Raw genomic sequence first — 16,573 nt, forward strand, 5'->3', positions numbered from 1 at the left:
CTCAGCTCTGCCACTGGTCAGATGTTATATTAAGCAAGTCGACAATCTCTCTGAAATTTGATTCTCATATGTGAAATAAGTAGGTTGAACCATATTCCTTGATTGTCCTGTTTTCCCCTGATCTCTTAAATATCAAACGCGTATGATGACTGTGATTAGACTCATTCTCATGCCAATGGGAACAGGTCCACTTTACATTCATCCTTAACCTGTTAGAGATAGGAAAAAAATTACAAAACAAACATGTGTTTTTCTAACTTTCTGTGTATGAGCCCATCCTAACATTATGTATTGGGCAGAAGTTCGGGATAAAAAATTGACAAAGTAGAAATTTACGAGGAATTAATATAAAGTCTGATAGTTTGATTCAAAAAAATAAATCACACAAGTAAGTGTTTGGCTGAAATTCACATATATATTTGGGTATGCAATTCATGTGAGCCAATAGCACGTAAGACTTGTGCTGTATAGCAGGGGTTCCCAACCTCCAGGCCATGGTCTGGTACCAGTCTGTGGCCTGTTAGGAACTGGGCGGAACAGCAGGAGGTGAGCAGCAGGTGGGTGAGCGAGCAGAGCTTCCTCTGTGTTTACAGCCACTCCCTGTCACTTGCATTACCACCTGAGCTCCACCTCCTGTCAGATCCATGGGGCATTAGATTCTCATGGGAGCACAAACCCTATTGTGAACTGTGCATGCGAGGGATCTAGGGATCTAGGTTATGTGCCCTTTATGAGAATCTAATGACTAATGATCTGTCACTGTCCCCCATCACCCCCAGATAGGACTGTCTAGTTGCAGGAAAACAAGCTCAGGGCTCCCACTGATTCTACATTATAGTGAGTTGTAGAATTACTTCATTATGTATTACAATGTAATTATAATAGAAATAAAGTACACAATACATGTAATGCACTTGAACCATCTTGAAACCATCCCCCCTGCCTGGTCCGTGGAAGTAGTGTCTTCCACAAAACTGGTCCCTGGTGCCAAAGAGGTTGGGGACTGCTGCTGTATAGGATAACCAAGAGTCCTGGCAGCCAAGGCAGACCGGAAGTAACTGCTGAGTCACTGGCTAGGTCAGATAGTATGAAATCAGCAGTCTTAAAAGAGATGAGGCAGGGCAAGGTCAGAGAGGCCAAAGGCAGGAGACAGCTCAAGGTTGTGGCAGGTGATCAGCCAGAAAGTATAATGAGGAGATCAGTAATGTCAAAGCTCAGAGATGAGCACGAAAAGAACAGGGGAGGGGAGGCTGGAGTGGGTGGAATGGTGTCTGTAACAAAGGGCTCCAGTTTTTCTTCTTTCTTCCCCCTGCCCCAACCTTATATTCCCAGGGAGCTTCTCAAGGCCTAGATTTCTCCATACCCTATAATTTAAGTGCCTCTTAACCTAACCCCGTCCAGTTAAAGTGATCTCTCTGGTTTGTTAGGAGGGAAGAATCACCTGCACTGTATCGTAAGCTTTCAGAGCCCACGTGTGGCAGCAGGAGTTACCCTTGCTGCACACTGCTCCCCCACATTAGCCACTGCTGTTTCTGGGTCAGCAGCCCCATCACGCACGCTCTGGTCATTCCCGCTTCCCTGCCTCTGCCAGTGCTCTTGTTCGCCCCTGATTTCCTTCCGTCTGTCACACGCCTTACCTTTAAAGGTCCATCTCAAATCCTACCTCTTTTAGCATTGTTCCCATCTCTCTTGGCTCTGTAGAACGGAATATGGCTCACTTGTCATGGGGGATGATGGCAGGAGGTTATTCCTTCAGTGTAATTATTAGTTCCGTAAGTAGTCTGTGAGCTTCAACAGGATAGGAACCATGTCTTCAGAGATTGCCTGGTACAGGAGAGAATGTCATGATTAGGGAAAATAACCCGGTATTTCATCCCGGCTCTGTGACCTTTAGCATCTACCTCTTTGTAGGCCTTCATTTCCTTCCATGAAAAATAGGGATAATCATTCTGTGTTCTGGATTCCTTACCTAGGGATCAAAAACTTAGATCAAATGATCACAGATAACAGCATTTTTTAACCTGGAAAGCACTCTATGAAAGTGAGGAGTCATAAAATGTTCCATCGTGTTGTAAAAAAGGCAAAGGATTTGGGGAATCTGAACTTTGAGCTAGATTTTAATTCCTGCTCTATTACTTACTGAGTATATTACTTTAGAGAAATTTCTTCTCTTGTGAAATAGAAATGACATTATTACAAGGATTATGGTGCTGGAGCTGGCTTATACACCAGCTTTTAAGAGCCAATTGTCAAATATTTAGAAACTTTGCAAGCAAGTTGTTAAACTTTTATTAGCTTGAAATCTGCTGTGGTGGGAATATTTACACCAGGGAAATGAGCAAACACTACAAACCAGATTGCTGTTGTTTTGGAAAGAGCTGATTTACCAGTATATTGCTGATTATGTAAACAGCCTTCTGTAAATTGTAAAGCACTTTGTCTTACTTATTATTAAAAATAGTAATGGTAACAGTAACGTTCTATATCCACAGAATCTAGGCTAGTGCATGGCACAATTCTCAGTATATATTCTTTTTTCTTTTTTGAGACAGGGCCTTGCTCTGTTGCCCAGCCTGGAGTACAGTGGCACAAACACAGCTCACTGCAGCCTCGATTTCCTGGGCTAAAGTGATTCTCCCACCTCAGCCTTCCACCCAAGTAGCTGACACTACAGGCGTATGCCACCATGCTTAGCTAATTTTTGTATTTTCTGTAATTTCTGTATTTTTTGTAATGTTTGTATTTTTTGTACTTTTTGCCATGTTGTGCAGGCTGAGTATATATTCAATAAACACATTTTGAATTTAGCTTTATGATTTGGAAACTTCTGCCCCTGTGATAAATGAGCCCCATCTTTATCTTTCTTCCAATCTCTCTCTACAAAGTGTCTTTTTAAAATCAGATAGCATCAGTAAAAGCCTAGCTCCCTAGCTCAGTGCATGATGCATAGTAGGCCTTAAATTCTGTATGTCCATAGTTGAGCTAATCGTCTTCTTTCCCAACCTTTCTTTCTGGCATTTCATATCTCAGTTATTGACATTGTCTGTCTATTCATTATTCCAAATAAGTGATTTGAAAAGTCTTCCTCTCCCCTTTTTCTTTACCCACATCCATGTCTAATCAATTACTAGATCTTACTAATTCTACCTCTTAAATCTTTCCTGTTCTCTTCACTGCCATTGCTAACTGACTTATTCAGGTCCAAGTCATTTCTTTTTGAACTGTACCTTCTAACTGGACCTTTAGTCTTTCCCTTTGAATCTAACCTCTACTTCTATAGACGTGATTTTAATTTATCTGACCAGATTACTCCCTTGCTTAAAATTCCTTAATGGCTCTCTGTTGTCATGAGGATAAAACCCCAAAGATTTAGCTTGTCATACAGGCCTACCATAATCTAGCCTTTGCCTACTTTTTCTAAGAGTTATCTCCTGCTGTTTCCCCATACTACCTGGAATGCCTAGTCTTTCTTTCCTAGTGACCATTAATTCACCCCTCAAGACTCAATTCAAGCAAAACTTCTTCTTATAACATCTCTAGACACATTTTATATTTATTTTTCTGAGCTCCCATTGCATCTTTTACATATCTTTGTCCCATATCTAACTATGTGGCCGTTATCTATCGGTCTTTCCTTCTGGATTGTGATTTCCCAAAGGGTAGGAACCTATGGACCATTTACTAATGCCTAACACACTGCATACCATGTAATAGGAGCTCAGTGAATGAATAAGAATTCAGAGGAAAGGATATTTTCCTCTCCCTCTCCCTCTCCCTCTTCTCCTTCTTCTTCTTCTTCTTCTGATGGAGTCTCACGCTGTCGCCCAGGCTAGAGTGTAGTAGCGCAATCTTGGCTCACTGCAACCTCCGCTTGCTGGGTTCGAGCAATTCTCCTGCCTCAGCCTCCTGAGTAGCTGGGACTACAGGCATGCACCACCATGCCCGGCTAATTTTTTGTATTTTTAGTAGAGATGGGGTTTCACCATGCTGGCCAGACTGGTCTCGAACTCCTGACCTCATGATCTGCCCACCTTGGCCTCCGAAAGTTTTGGGATTACAGGCGTGAGCTACCACGCCAGCCAAGGATACGATGTTTTCATTGGTTCACTAATACAAGCTATTCATGGGATATGGTAATGAATAAAAGGCTTAAAATTTAGGTCTCAGTTATGAAGATAAGAAAATAATAAAATTGAGAGGGTCTATTTTAATCCATAATCCGCAATATAAGATACTATGGCTCCCCATCACCTTCAGTATAAAATCTCAAACTCAGCCTGGCATGCAAAGCTCCTTATAGTCTAGTCCCTACCTATCTGTCCATTCATGTCTTTCTGCATGCACTTATATATAGCCTACATTCCAGCCACTTTGGATTTCTCATCTGTTCTATAGTCTTTCAAGCTTCCATGCCCTCCTTCACAGTTTCCCCCACACCTGTAATACCTTCCCCCTCTTCCTTCACTCACACCTTCCTGACTTGCTTAATGAATGCCTACACTTCCTTCAAATGGATCAAAAGTTACCACCTTTGAGCACCTTTCCCTGAAACTATTCCTCCCTCTTCTGTGCTCTCAGAGCACTTACTTGATTGATTATAAGCACTGTTCTGTCATTTTTTGTTGGTCTTTCTTTTACCCCCTCTGCAAAATGAGGTCATCTTCATACCCTGACCTCTAGCATATTCTAGATGCTTAGTACAGAGTGAAGGAAGGAATGACTGTTACAAAGGGATTTAAAAAGAAAGTACATTTCTGATAAGAACATACTTTGGGCTGGGCGCAGTGGCCCATGCCTGTAATCCCAGCACTTTGTGAGGCAAAGGCAGGTGGATCACCTGAGGTCAGGAGTTTGAGACCAGTCTGGCCAACATAGTGAAATCCCGTCTCTACTAAAAATACAAAAAAAAAAAAAAAATTAGCTGGGCGTGGTGGTGCGTGCCTGTAATCCCAGCTACTCAGGAGGCTGTGGCAGGAGAATTGCTTGAACCTGGGAGGCGGAGGTTGCAGTGAGCCGAGATCACACCACTGTACTCCAGTCTAGGTGACAGAGCGAGACTCTGTCTCAAAAAAAAGAAAAAAAAACATACTTTGAATAAATTTAAGATTGACTATGCGTGATCTGGCCAATCTAGAACAAATCTTCACTTTTAAAGGTTAGGTGGCCACAAGAAATGGTGCTAATGGACAGATCAGAAGCAAAGAACAAGTTTAAAGAGCTAGGGCTTAGTTGTGTTACCCCAGATTTGGTGCAGTATAATAAAAACAAATTTTATATCTTAGAAACTTGTCTTGTCACAGACACATGACATTTATCTCCATGACTTAATGAATGCCTTATAAAGTGACGCAGTGCCCCAGTGGATAAGACACGAAAGCAAAGAGAAAAGATGAGTAGCAACTTATAACACAGGATGTAGTTTGTACTAAAGATGTGTATATCAGAACAACTAAATTTCCCTTGTAGAAAGGGAAACATTCTTTTCTGATTAAAAAGATAGGCCGGGCACGGTGGCTCACGCCTGTAATCCCAACACTTTGGGAGGCCGAGGGGGTTGGATCACCTAAGGTCAGGAGTTGGAGACCAGCCTGACCAACATACAGAAACCCTGTCTCTATTAAAAATACAAAAATTAGCCAGGTGTGATGATGCATGCCTATAATCCCAGCTACTTGGGAGGCTGAGGCAGGAGAATCACTTCAACCTGGGAAGCGGAGGTTGCAGTGAGCCGAGATCGCGCCATTGCACTCCAGCCTGGGCAACAAGAGCAAAACTCCGTCTCAAAAAAAAAAAAAAAGATAATAGATATTAAAACAGAATGCTTAGAATACCTTGAAAATCACAACAATATAAACCTCCCCCAAATCTAACCACCTAAAATTAACTGTTGTTAGTTCCTTGGATTTTTTCCTTGAAGTCTTTTTTCTTGTATGTATGTCCTTTTAAATAAATTTCTAAGTTAATGTTGTATATATTGTTCTAACCTGTTTTTTATATTAATGTGTCATGGATATTTTGTCATGTTCATAAATACTCTTCCACAGCATAATTTTTCATTGCTGCACTCATTTCCATCACATGGACTAACCCACAGGTTAACCAATCCCCATTGTTTCAGTTTTTTTTAATGCAAACAGAAGTGTCGTAGTGTGCATACTAAAGAAAGGATGATCTCTTATCTCCCTCCTGTTTTTCTCAGGTTTTGGAGCCCTCTCTTAAGTCAGAACTCTGTCCCAAAAATCTTCTGAGTGTCATCTCAGGACTTTGGTTATACTCATGGCACGATGGCCAACTTTCAGGAGCACCTGAGCTGCTCCTCTTCTCCACACTTACCCTTCAGTGAAAGCAAAACCTTCAATGGACTACAAGATGAGCTCACAGCTATGGGGAACCACCCTTCTCCCAAGCTGCTCGAGGACCAGCAGGAAAAGGGGATGGTACGAACAGAGCTAATCGAGAGCGTGCACAGCCCCGTCACCACAACAGTGTTGACGAGCGTAAGTGAGGATTCCAGGGACCAGTTTGAGAACAGCGTTCTTCAGCTAAGGGAACACGATGAATCAGAGACGGCGGTGTCTCAGGGGAACAGCAACACGGTGGACGGAGAGAGCACAAGCGGAACTGAAGACATAAAGATTCAGTTCAGCAGGTCAGGCAGTGGCAGTGGTGGGTTTCTTGAAGGACTATTTGGATGCTTAAGGCCTGTATGGAATATCATTGGGAAGGCATATTCCACTGATTACAAATTGCAGCAGCAAGGTAAGCTAGAATATGGACTTGGAAGATATTTCTTGTGTAAACACACCATCACCACCACCGTCACCACCATTAGCTGGATAACCTATGACCTTTGGGCAAATTAAAGAACTAGTGACAGATGAATACCTCATTTCAGTTTCCAGTAGACCAGCTGAAGGGAAGAGATTCACATTTGGTGGGTCTTTTTTGGTTGTAGCCCATCTTTTGTGGTCATCCAGTCTAGCGGTGTCCAAAGTACAGTACATATAAAACAATCCATGGGATTATAAGAAGAAAATATTAGAGATCATGTTTATCTCATCATTTAAAATTTCTATTTTCATACATTTTCAGATATATTTCATATTTTAATATAGCTGTGCAGATATATAATACATAAAGAAATCATGCAGTGGCCACATATTTAAAATTTTTTGCCAGGTGCAGTGGTTCACACCTATAATCTCAGCACTTTGGGAAGCTGAGGCAGGAGGATTACTTGAGCCCAGGAGTTTGAGGCTACAGTGAGCTATGATGGTGCCACTGCACTTCAGCCTGGGTGACAGAGTGAGACTGTTTCTCTAAAATAATTAATTAATGGATAAATAAAAATAAATTTTAAAAAGTTTACTGATAACTTATACAATCAAAAAAATCTGATGGCTGCTGGACCAATTTAAAACCAGACAGAAGCCACATGGTAATGCCCCTGAAGATTGTAGGGCTTAGATTATAGTAAAACTTAGATTATAGTAAAAAGGAGTTATTTTCTTACAATAAAGGCATAGAAAGCTTACATTTTGAGGAAATGACAAAATATCTAACCAATCTTGAGAAGCATTATTATTTCTAGATCACACAGCTTTTAAAAAAAGGAAGTTTTGTTGGGCGTGGTGGCTCAAGCCTGTAATCACAGCACTTTGGGAGGCTAAGGGGAGCGGATCACCTGAGGTCAGGAGTTCAAGACCAGCCTGGCCAACATGGTGATACCCCGTCTCTATTAAAAATACAAAAATTAGCTGGGCATGGTGGTGTGCACCTGTAGTCCCAGCTATTTGGGAGGCTGAGGCACAAGAATTGCTTAAACCCAGCAGAGGCTGCAGAGAGCCAAGATCGTGCCACTGCATTCCAGCCTGGTTGATACAGTGAAACTCTGCCTCAAAAAAAAAAAAATTAAGTTTTTAACTCCCATCATTGTGTAACAATATATTCAATATTCTAATTCAAATATTAATATTACACTTTTGAAGCCCTGGTGTTCTTTATAACCTCATTTTTTTAAACTTTTATTTTAGGTTCAGGGGTACGTGCGCAGGTTTGTTATATAGGTAAACTTGTGCCATGGGGATTTACTGTACAGATTATTTCATCACTCAGTATCCAATAGTTATTTTATCTGATCCTCTTTCTCCCCCCACCCTCCACCCTCACGTAGGCCCCAGTGTCTGTCATTCCTCTCTTTGTGTCTATGTTTTCTCATCATTTAGCTCCTGCTTGTAAGTGAGAACATGTGATATTTGGTTTTCTGTTCTTGCATTAGCTTGCTAAGGGCGATGGCCTCTGACTCTGTCCATGTCCTCGCAAAGGACAAGATCTTGTATAACCTCATTAATATTCTTCAAAGTAACTTTTTTTTCTGATAACAAAAGTAATATACGTATGAAATTTGGAAAATACAGGTAAGCTCCAAAAAAATTTTAAAATAATCTATGATCCTCCATCTCCTGAGAATAACCATTAATGTTTTCATTATATATTAGGTTAGTCTATTTGTGTATGTGTGTGTATACTTTTAAAAAATGGAGTCATACTGTATTAATCCATGTTCACACTGCTCTAAGGATCTACCTGAGACTGGGTAATTTATGAAGAAAAGAGGTTTAATGGACCCACAGTTCAGCAGGCTTAACAGGAAGCATGGCTAGGAAACCTCAAGAAACAGGATCATGGCAGAAGGCGAAGGGGAAGCAAGAAGGTCTTACCATGGCAGAGCAGGAGACAGAGAAGGGGCAAGGGCCACACATTTTCAAACAACCAGATCTCGTGAGCACTCACTCACTATCACCAGAACAGCAAGGGGGAGATCCGCCCCATGATCCAATCACCTCCCACCAGACCCCTCCCCTGACTCGTGGGAATTACAATTCGAGATGAGATTTGGGTGGGAACACAGAGCCAAACTATATCACATATTGTTTTGTAATATTTTGTCACTTCATATTGTGAACATTTTCCATGTCTTAAGTATAATTCTTCAGCATCATTTTTAATGGCCACATAATATTAAATGATGTGAATGTGCCAATATTTTTAAGCAATCCCCTAGTGCTCAACATTAATTTGTTTACATTTTTAGCTATTATAAGCCATACTGCAATGACCATTTGTCTACTCCTTTACTTTTGCATATATCTTTGATTAGTCCTTGGGATAAATTCCTAGGAGAGGAATAGTTGAATTCAAAAGATGTGTTGTTTTAAGACTTTTGATACATATCTTTGTGGCCTTATGTAAATGATTAAATTTTTATGAGTTCTCTCACCAAGAAATTCTGGAAAGGGAAAATATGGACCAAAAATGAGATTCTATTTATTTTATAACTGAATTTTAGACTCTGGGACCCTCCCCTAAAAGTCTGTTCATCTCTTTTAGTCAAGACTGTTGACAGCTTTTCCACAACAGCCAGCAGACTTCAGTTACCATTATCCACTTTTTTCATGCATTTTATTTCCCCTGTTTCTGCAATACATTCCTTAAACCAAATACCAACTCCTCCCTCTATACCTGTTTTCCATAACTATATTGGGATTACTGGTATATCTATCACTTCCAGGTCCTTTTCAGGACTTGTCAACCATATCATCTATTCTTGCTCCATGCAAAAATTCTTCGTCAGTCCCTGGTTTTATGTATGTGTATCTCTCTCTCTCTCTCTTTCATACATACTCCGACACGCTACACATTCTGCTTTCATTTTCCCTCCACCCCCTGGCCCCCATGATTTCAAGGTTTTAAAGGAAATTAGTTGTTTTTTGCTAACAGCATTATTATGTTTTACATTGGAAATAAATATAAGCAGGAAAATAAAATAAAGAAGAAAATTAAAATCACCTGTCTTTCCACAATCCAGAGATAACCATTTCTAATTGCTTTTTTTTTTTTTTTTTTTTTTGAGATGGAGTCTTGGTCTGTTGCCCAGGCTGGAGCGCAATGGGTGTGATCTTGGCTCACTGCAACCTCTGCCTTCTGGGTTCGAGCGATTCTCCTGCCTCAGCCTCCCGAGTAGCTGGGATTACAGGCGTGTGCCACCACGCCTGGCTAATTTTTGTGTTTTTAGTAGAGACAGGGTTTCACCATGTTGGCCAGGCTGGTCTTGAACTCCTGACCTCAGGTGATCTACCTGCCTCGGCCTTCCAAAGTGCTGGATTACAGGCATGAGCCACCACGCCCGGCCCTAATTTGTTATTTTTTAAAAGTTCCCTGTTCTTTGGTTGGACACAAAACCTACTGATAGCTGCATAAGTGATCGAGTACATTTGGTTTTTAGGGTCTCTGCTTGTCCAGTCTTAGACTTACTTTTGGTGATAATTTGAAGATCTCAGGATCCAAGTGCATCACTGAGGTTCAGACTCAGAATGAGGGGCGATTCACCCAGCCCATATGTTTGTCAAAAGGAGGTTTTAAAATTTTTTGTTATTATTCTGTAAACTAGTATTTAATTTGTTTTCCAACTGATTATGTGACTTTCAAAAGGGTTTATTTCACAAATAAATAAGAAACAGCCCTGGTCAGCTTAAGATTCTGACACAGGCACAGCAGGTGCCTGGCCTTTCAGCAGATTGCAGGATATCCTACTGAGGGCTGGTGTTGCTGTGCACCATGAAAGGGTTTCGCTAGCCAGAGACTAGCAAATTTCCTTGTCAGGTCTGGGATCAGGGAGCCAATCTTCAATCCTGCATTGCAGTCAACCGAAGGCTAACACATATCACAGATGTGTCCCTACATTTGGTACTTATGAGGAACTGTCACTGGATTTTTAAAAAATTTTAATGATGTCCTCACCTCCCTTTGAGTATGTTGATAGTGAGCCCAAGTAAAGTAGCATGCAATTTAATCTTTTATTGTCAAATAGTTTCCAGTCTCAAAGCAAGTACTGTCATGGCCATGTCTGAATAAACAAAGGAGAACTGTTGCCTTAAAGTGGGTGGGCATGTGTCTTTTTCTCAGTCCTAAGGATTCTGGTGGATATTGGAATTAAGATCATAGTCATTGGGAAGATAAAATTGAAGATAAACGCTGGGGAAGAGTAGCAGTGGGACAGACATAGAAGCAACGAAAAGTTTGGGACTAACTCTAGAGAGAGTGTAGTCAGTTCTTCATTATTATGAGATTAGTTATCTCACTCATCAATTATCTAGGCCCTTAATTTTGTGCATCCTTATCACCAATTTCCTTTTTTCTGCCATTTTCCCATTTCTGAGCTCTCTGCTCATTATTGATAGGGACTTTGAGACTGGTCAAAGAGTGCTAAATTCATATCAATCGATTTTACTTCTGATAATTAGTTTCAGTAAAAAGATGGATAGAAACATTGTTGAAGCATTACTTTCTTTATTTTACAATCTGTGTTCTTTCATTACCAGTACTATCCACTTTATTTTTCTATGGATAATCAAGACTTGGCTGAACATAGTTGAATAGCACAGGCATGAGGTAGAGGTTGGTAGAGGATAATTTTATTTTTTATTGCAATACTCGGAATACTTTGTATTTGAGTGCCAAATGTATTTGTATTTTAGTAATTAGTCTGTTTATCATCTTATAAAAATACTAATAGGCATTATTTCTAAAAAACATAGTGAGTTACAATGTAAGTATCCTAAAGCAATATGAAAAGAAAGGATTTTTAAACAAATTATTTGGGAATCATTAAATAGCAATGTGGAAAAAAATAATTTATATCTGTCCTCATACCATACACCAAAATAAGTTTCAGATGAAAGTAAAGATTAAATTTTTAAAAATGAACTATAGATAACTTTTAGAAGGTAGACTAGGCAGTGGAAGAAATTACAAAGGAAATAATAGACAATGATATAGAATACTTTGTTCAAAAATAATAAAATTAAAAGAAAAAGGCTTATAAAAATATTCTCATTTGTATCAAAGAAATATAGAAGGAGTTTCTTCAAGTTTATGTGAACAATGGAAGGCTAATAGATAAATGAACAAAGGGGTTTTGACAATTCATGCAAAGCAGATTATGAATATTAAACAAATGTGAGCACCGGCAGTTAAACTAGTGCAAAGTTATAAAACACTAAACTAAAATAGAACCAAAAAAGAATTGATAACACTTACTGCCAACATGTTCATACCTTGCTATTGTGAGCGAAACTATCAAAATCCTTTTGGACAGAATTTGGAATGTATGTATTCCTGGAGCCAGGAAACTGTCCTCTTTAACCAAGGAACTGAATCTGGGGATATACTTATGCAGAACAGGTAAGAGGGTACAGAACAACTATTAGAACTTATAATAAAAATAGGAACTACATGAAGGATACATGATATGTGAAAAAGTAGAAAAAATTAGACATCACCTGCCATTTTTACACAGCTGTAAACATGAACACAAACTAGGAGGGTAGATGGCAAGTGGGTGTGGGATGAGCTTTCACATAAAATCTGTGTTTTTCTGACTTTTCTGATCTTTCTCTAATGTTTCCAATGTTTAACAGTAACTAAAGATTGAGTAAATAGGGTAAAAAAGACACCCAAACAGTCTAATTTTAGTAGTTATTTTATTAAAAATTAGGGTAATTTGGGCTTGTGTAAAGCTGTTCAAAGACGTACTGCTCAGTTATGTTCTTGCCCCAGAGTCCAGTAATAATACTTTATTCAGCCCCCAGAATTGTCAAAATGACACTGAGGTTTTTTTATTTTTGTTTTTGTTTGTTTGTTTGTTTGTTGTTGTTGTTGTTTTGAGACAGAGTTTCGCTCTGTCACCCAGGCTGGAGTGCAGTGGCGCATTCTCAGCTCACTGAAACCTCTGCCTCCCGGGTTCAAGCAATTCTCCTGCCTCAGCCTCCTAAGCAGCTGGGATTACAGGCCTGCACCACCATGCCTGGCTATTTTTTTTTTTTTTGTATTTTTAATAGAGACGGGGTTTCACCATATTGGCCAGGCTGGTCTCGAACTCCTGACCTCATGGTCCACCCTGCCTCAGCCTCCCAAAGTGCTGGGATTACAGGCGTGAACCACCACGCCTGGCCAATGATACTGTTTTTGTCACTGGACCCCTAATGAGGAAAACTATCTTACAATATGCCATCGATATCTGTGTACCACGTGTGCTGCATGTATGAGCCCATGGAGGTGAAAGTGAGATTTCATGAGCCACTTATTAATACTTGTCCTCTATAGAAACCCTAAAGATAGTTAAAATAGCCAACGCTATCACTTGCTGTTTCCTCCCAAATCTCACTTGGTATCATGTGTTTCTTGGGTGATTTTAAATTTGTCAGCTATTTGTATTTGAGAGAGATTTGCTTTTATCTAGCATTTATTCAATTTCAGTAGAGTGGAAACCTTTAATACTGCTCATATCAGGAGAACGGGATGAAGGCCCACGGCATAAACCACCCTCATTTTATATACTTTTTGCTCTATGTAGTTATATTTTGAAGGTTAGGTTTTAGCAATTGTAATGAGAAAACATTTTATTAAGAATCTACAGGATTTCTTTTCTCTTAAGGTAGAGAAAATTAGAGAAGAGGGAAGTGTAGCTCACTTCTAGAGGCAGATAAATTGTTTCATCAATGCAGTGGATGGTGAGTTGATTTGCTTTCAAGACCAGAGTATCTTTGAAGCTAACTCAACACTACTTTGTTCCATGTTCTGCAAACACTGGCTTTTGAGTGATCTGAGGAGAATCTCTCATGACCTTTCACACTGGCATCATTTTTCTCACTCCGTGGGGCTCTTAGCTCTTTGATATTTGTTTCTTACCTGTGATAATACTCTGGTAAGAAGGGGGAAAGGAGAAGCCTCAATGGATTACATTCTTTTTTAAAAAAGTTTCATGAGATTAAAGCACATATTGATTGAATTTTTGAAGTGCTTTATTTAAAATAGCATTTTATTCATTATAAAAGTGATATAGGCTTATGGTAAAAATAGTTTTTAAGACAGAAAACAATAGAGAATATGAAGCACTAATAATGCCACCACTTAGAAATGACCCTTCTTAAATTTCTGGTGCAAAAAAATATTCAAACTCTAAGGAAAAAGAAACTTGAAAATACTACAGCTATATAAGTAAGCATATCATGACTAATGACTAATGGCTCTCTCAATTACTTTTGAGAGGCAATGTCATATAGGAGAGAAAGCACTCTTCGTAAAATTGGCCAATCCTGGGATTCTAGGCCCAGTTCTACCAGTTATCAGTTATATGATTTTAGGAGAATTTACTTAACCACCCTATGCCTTAGTTTTTTCATCTTTAAATAACTATAATAAGGCCATACCTGTAGGGTTGTTGTAAGGATTGAACATATGATATATGTAAAGTACTATGCTAGTGTATGGTATATAGTAAGTCCTCAATAAAAGGTAAATATTAATGTAAGTAGTATGCATAATGAAGTTCTTAGGAGAGTATCATTAAAAAATTCATTAGCAGCCCGGCGCAGTGGCTCACACCTGTAATCCCAACACTTTGGGAGGCCAAGGCGGGTGGATCACCTGAGGTCAGGAGTTCGAGACCAGTCTGACCAACATGGTGAAACCCTGCCTCTACTGAAAAATACAATTAGCCAGACATGGTGGCTGGTGCCTGTAATCCCAGCTACTTGGGAGGCTGAGGCAGGAGAATTGCTTGAACCCCAGAGGCAGAGGTTGCAGTGAGCTGAGATCGTGCCATTGCACTCCAGCCTGGGTGACAGAGCAAGACTCTGTCTCAAAAAAAAAAAAAAAAAAAAAAAAAAAAAAAATTAGCAAAGATTCACTGAGCATCTGCACCAGAAATTAAAAGAGGAATAAAATAACACCGATAGTGGGTGATGGGGTAGGGATAGTTGCATAGAGACAGACGGGTAAATTGACTGACATGCAAGCTTAAGGTGAGGAGGTAGGACTGCAGGAGTGGTAGGATATGTTTTATTTGGAGGAAGGTATATTGGAGGCTTCTGCTCTGCTTTATTTCAGTGATTTAAAAATTGATACAAACTAATGTTTATGAATATTTGATCTATAGTTCCAAGGTACATAGGAAGGTTCTATCTTTTGCCGGGAGACAGAGGGTAAGGGTCATCCTGGGTGACGATGAAGTTGGTACCTTCAGAATGGCCTTGTAGAGTGGTCCCTTCTGAGATCTCTTCAAGCTTATTTCTTGCTTGTGTGCCTAGATACTTGGGAAGTGCCATTTGAGGAGATCTCAGAGCTGCAGTGGCTGGGTAGTGGAGCCCAAGGAGCGGTCTTCTTGGGCAAGTTCCGGGCGGAAGAGGTGGCCATCAAGAAAGTGAGAGAACAGAATGAGACGGATATCAAGCATTTGAGGAAGTTGAAGCACCCTAACATCATCGCATTCAAGTAGGTCAAGGCTTTTTTTTTTTAAGAAGTAGACCTATTTTCTTTCCCCCAATATATACACACAAGTTTCTGCTTTGAGAGATATTTCAAAAGCATTCTCTAGACTTAGCACTGTGCTAGGTGCTTTGGGAGGGTATCAAGGAACTATTAAATTGGAGTTGTGTCCTCAGGCATCTTATAATCCAGTGGTTCATTTTGCCGAAGTATGTGCAAAGTACATGGAAGTACATGGAAGGGGCATGCACATGGGGCAGGAAGGGAAAATGTGGGTTCCTGCCAAGCAGTCAGATCTGCTGCATCAACCTCATTTATCAATGGGATAACAGAGGTTACTTCAATATCACCTGAACAGCCTAAGATTCACTTAACAAAACAAAGTTGGCCGGGCGCAGTGGCTCATGTCTGTAATCCCAGCACTTTGGGAGGCCAAGGCAGGCAGATCACTTGAGCCCAGGAGTTTGAGACCAGCCTGGGCAATATAGTGGAACCCTGTCTGTAAAAAAAAATTTTTTTTAATTAGCTGAATGTGGTAGCACAGGCCTGTAGTCCTACCTACTTAAGAGGCTGAGGCAGGGGGATTGCTTGAACCCAGAAGGTTGAGGCTGTGTTGAGCCATGTTCATGCTACTGCCCTCCAGCCTAGGTGACAGAGTGAGACCCTGAAAAAAAAAGGAAAGAAAGAAGAAAGAAAGAAAGAAAGAGACAAAGGTAACATCTGAAGTGATCAAAGAACAATCAATCCTTGTGTAGTAGATACATATTTTGTATTAGGTTCTGTTAGCATCCCTTCTTAAACATTAACGTGTAATGGCAGGTACCTTTAGAGTATAGCCTCTGGTTTTCCTAGATCTCCTTCCAAGCAATGTCAAACATTCAGCTTTCTTAACCTAATGATTGTTGAGTTATTGATAGTAAGTCATATGTTATATTCATTTCACAAAGTGATTGTTTTCAAGAGTCTGTGAACATATTTTTCTAGCCTAGATGATTCTTTTCATAATATTGCCTGGGATCCCTAACAGAAGGAGGAGAGTCAAAGTTTAAAGGGTGGAAGTGCTGAGCTCTAAATAGATATTATCTCTTCTGCCTGAATCTTTCCCTTGAGTTCTCTCCCTCACTAGCCTTTTAATGTTGCCCTAGGCTTAAACAAATAAGTGGTAAGTGGCTTTAGAGGAAAGAAGGTGAAGAACAGGACAAGTATCTTTAGGTAGGATGAAAGTTTAGAAACTGGAGCTTTGTGA

The 16,573-nt window shown here is 39.9% G+C and overlaps 1 protein-coding gene across 7 annotated transcripts in view; it reads left to right on the top strand.

The window, feature by feature from the left end:
- MAP3K13 (mitogen-activated protein kinase kinase kinase 13) overlaps positions 1-16,573 on the top strand; it is a 206,134-nt gene that overhangs the window by 139,337 nt on the left and 50,224 nt on the right. For 5 of the 7 annotated variants that reach the window (XM_047449193.1, XM_017007456.2, NM_001242314.2 and 2 more), the window contains 2 exons: positions 6,200-6,759; positions 15,150-15,333. The exons of 1 other annotated variant lie outside the window; for it this stretch is intronic. In XM_047449193.1, the coding sequence (XP_047305149.1) occupies positions 6,285-6,759; positions 15,150-15,333 (659 nt within the window). In that variant the 5' untranslated portion in view covers positions 6,200-6,284. The remainder of the gene's footprint in view (positions 1-6,199; positions 6,760-15,149; positions 15,334-16,573) is intronic. One more of the 7 variants, XM_017007457.2, reaches the window with a different exon arrangement.

The sequence above is a fragment of the Homo sapiens genome, chromosome 3, assembly GCF_000001405.40.
Source record: "Homo sapiens chromosome 3, GRCh38.p14 Primary Assembly".
Taxonomy (NCBI): domain Eukaryota; kingdom Metazoa; phylum Chordata; class Mammalia; order Primates; family Hominidae; genus Homo; species Homo sapiens.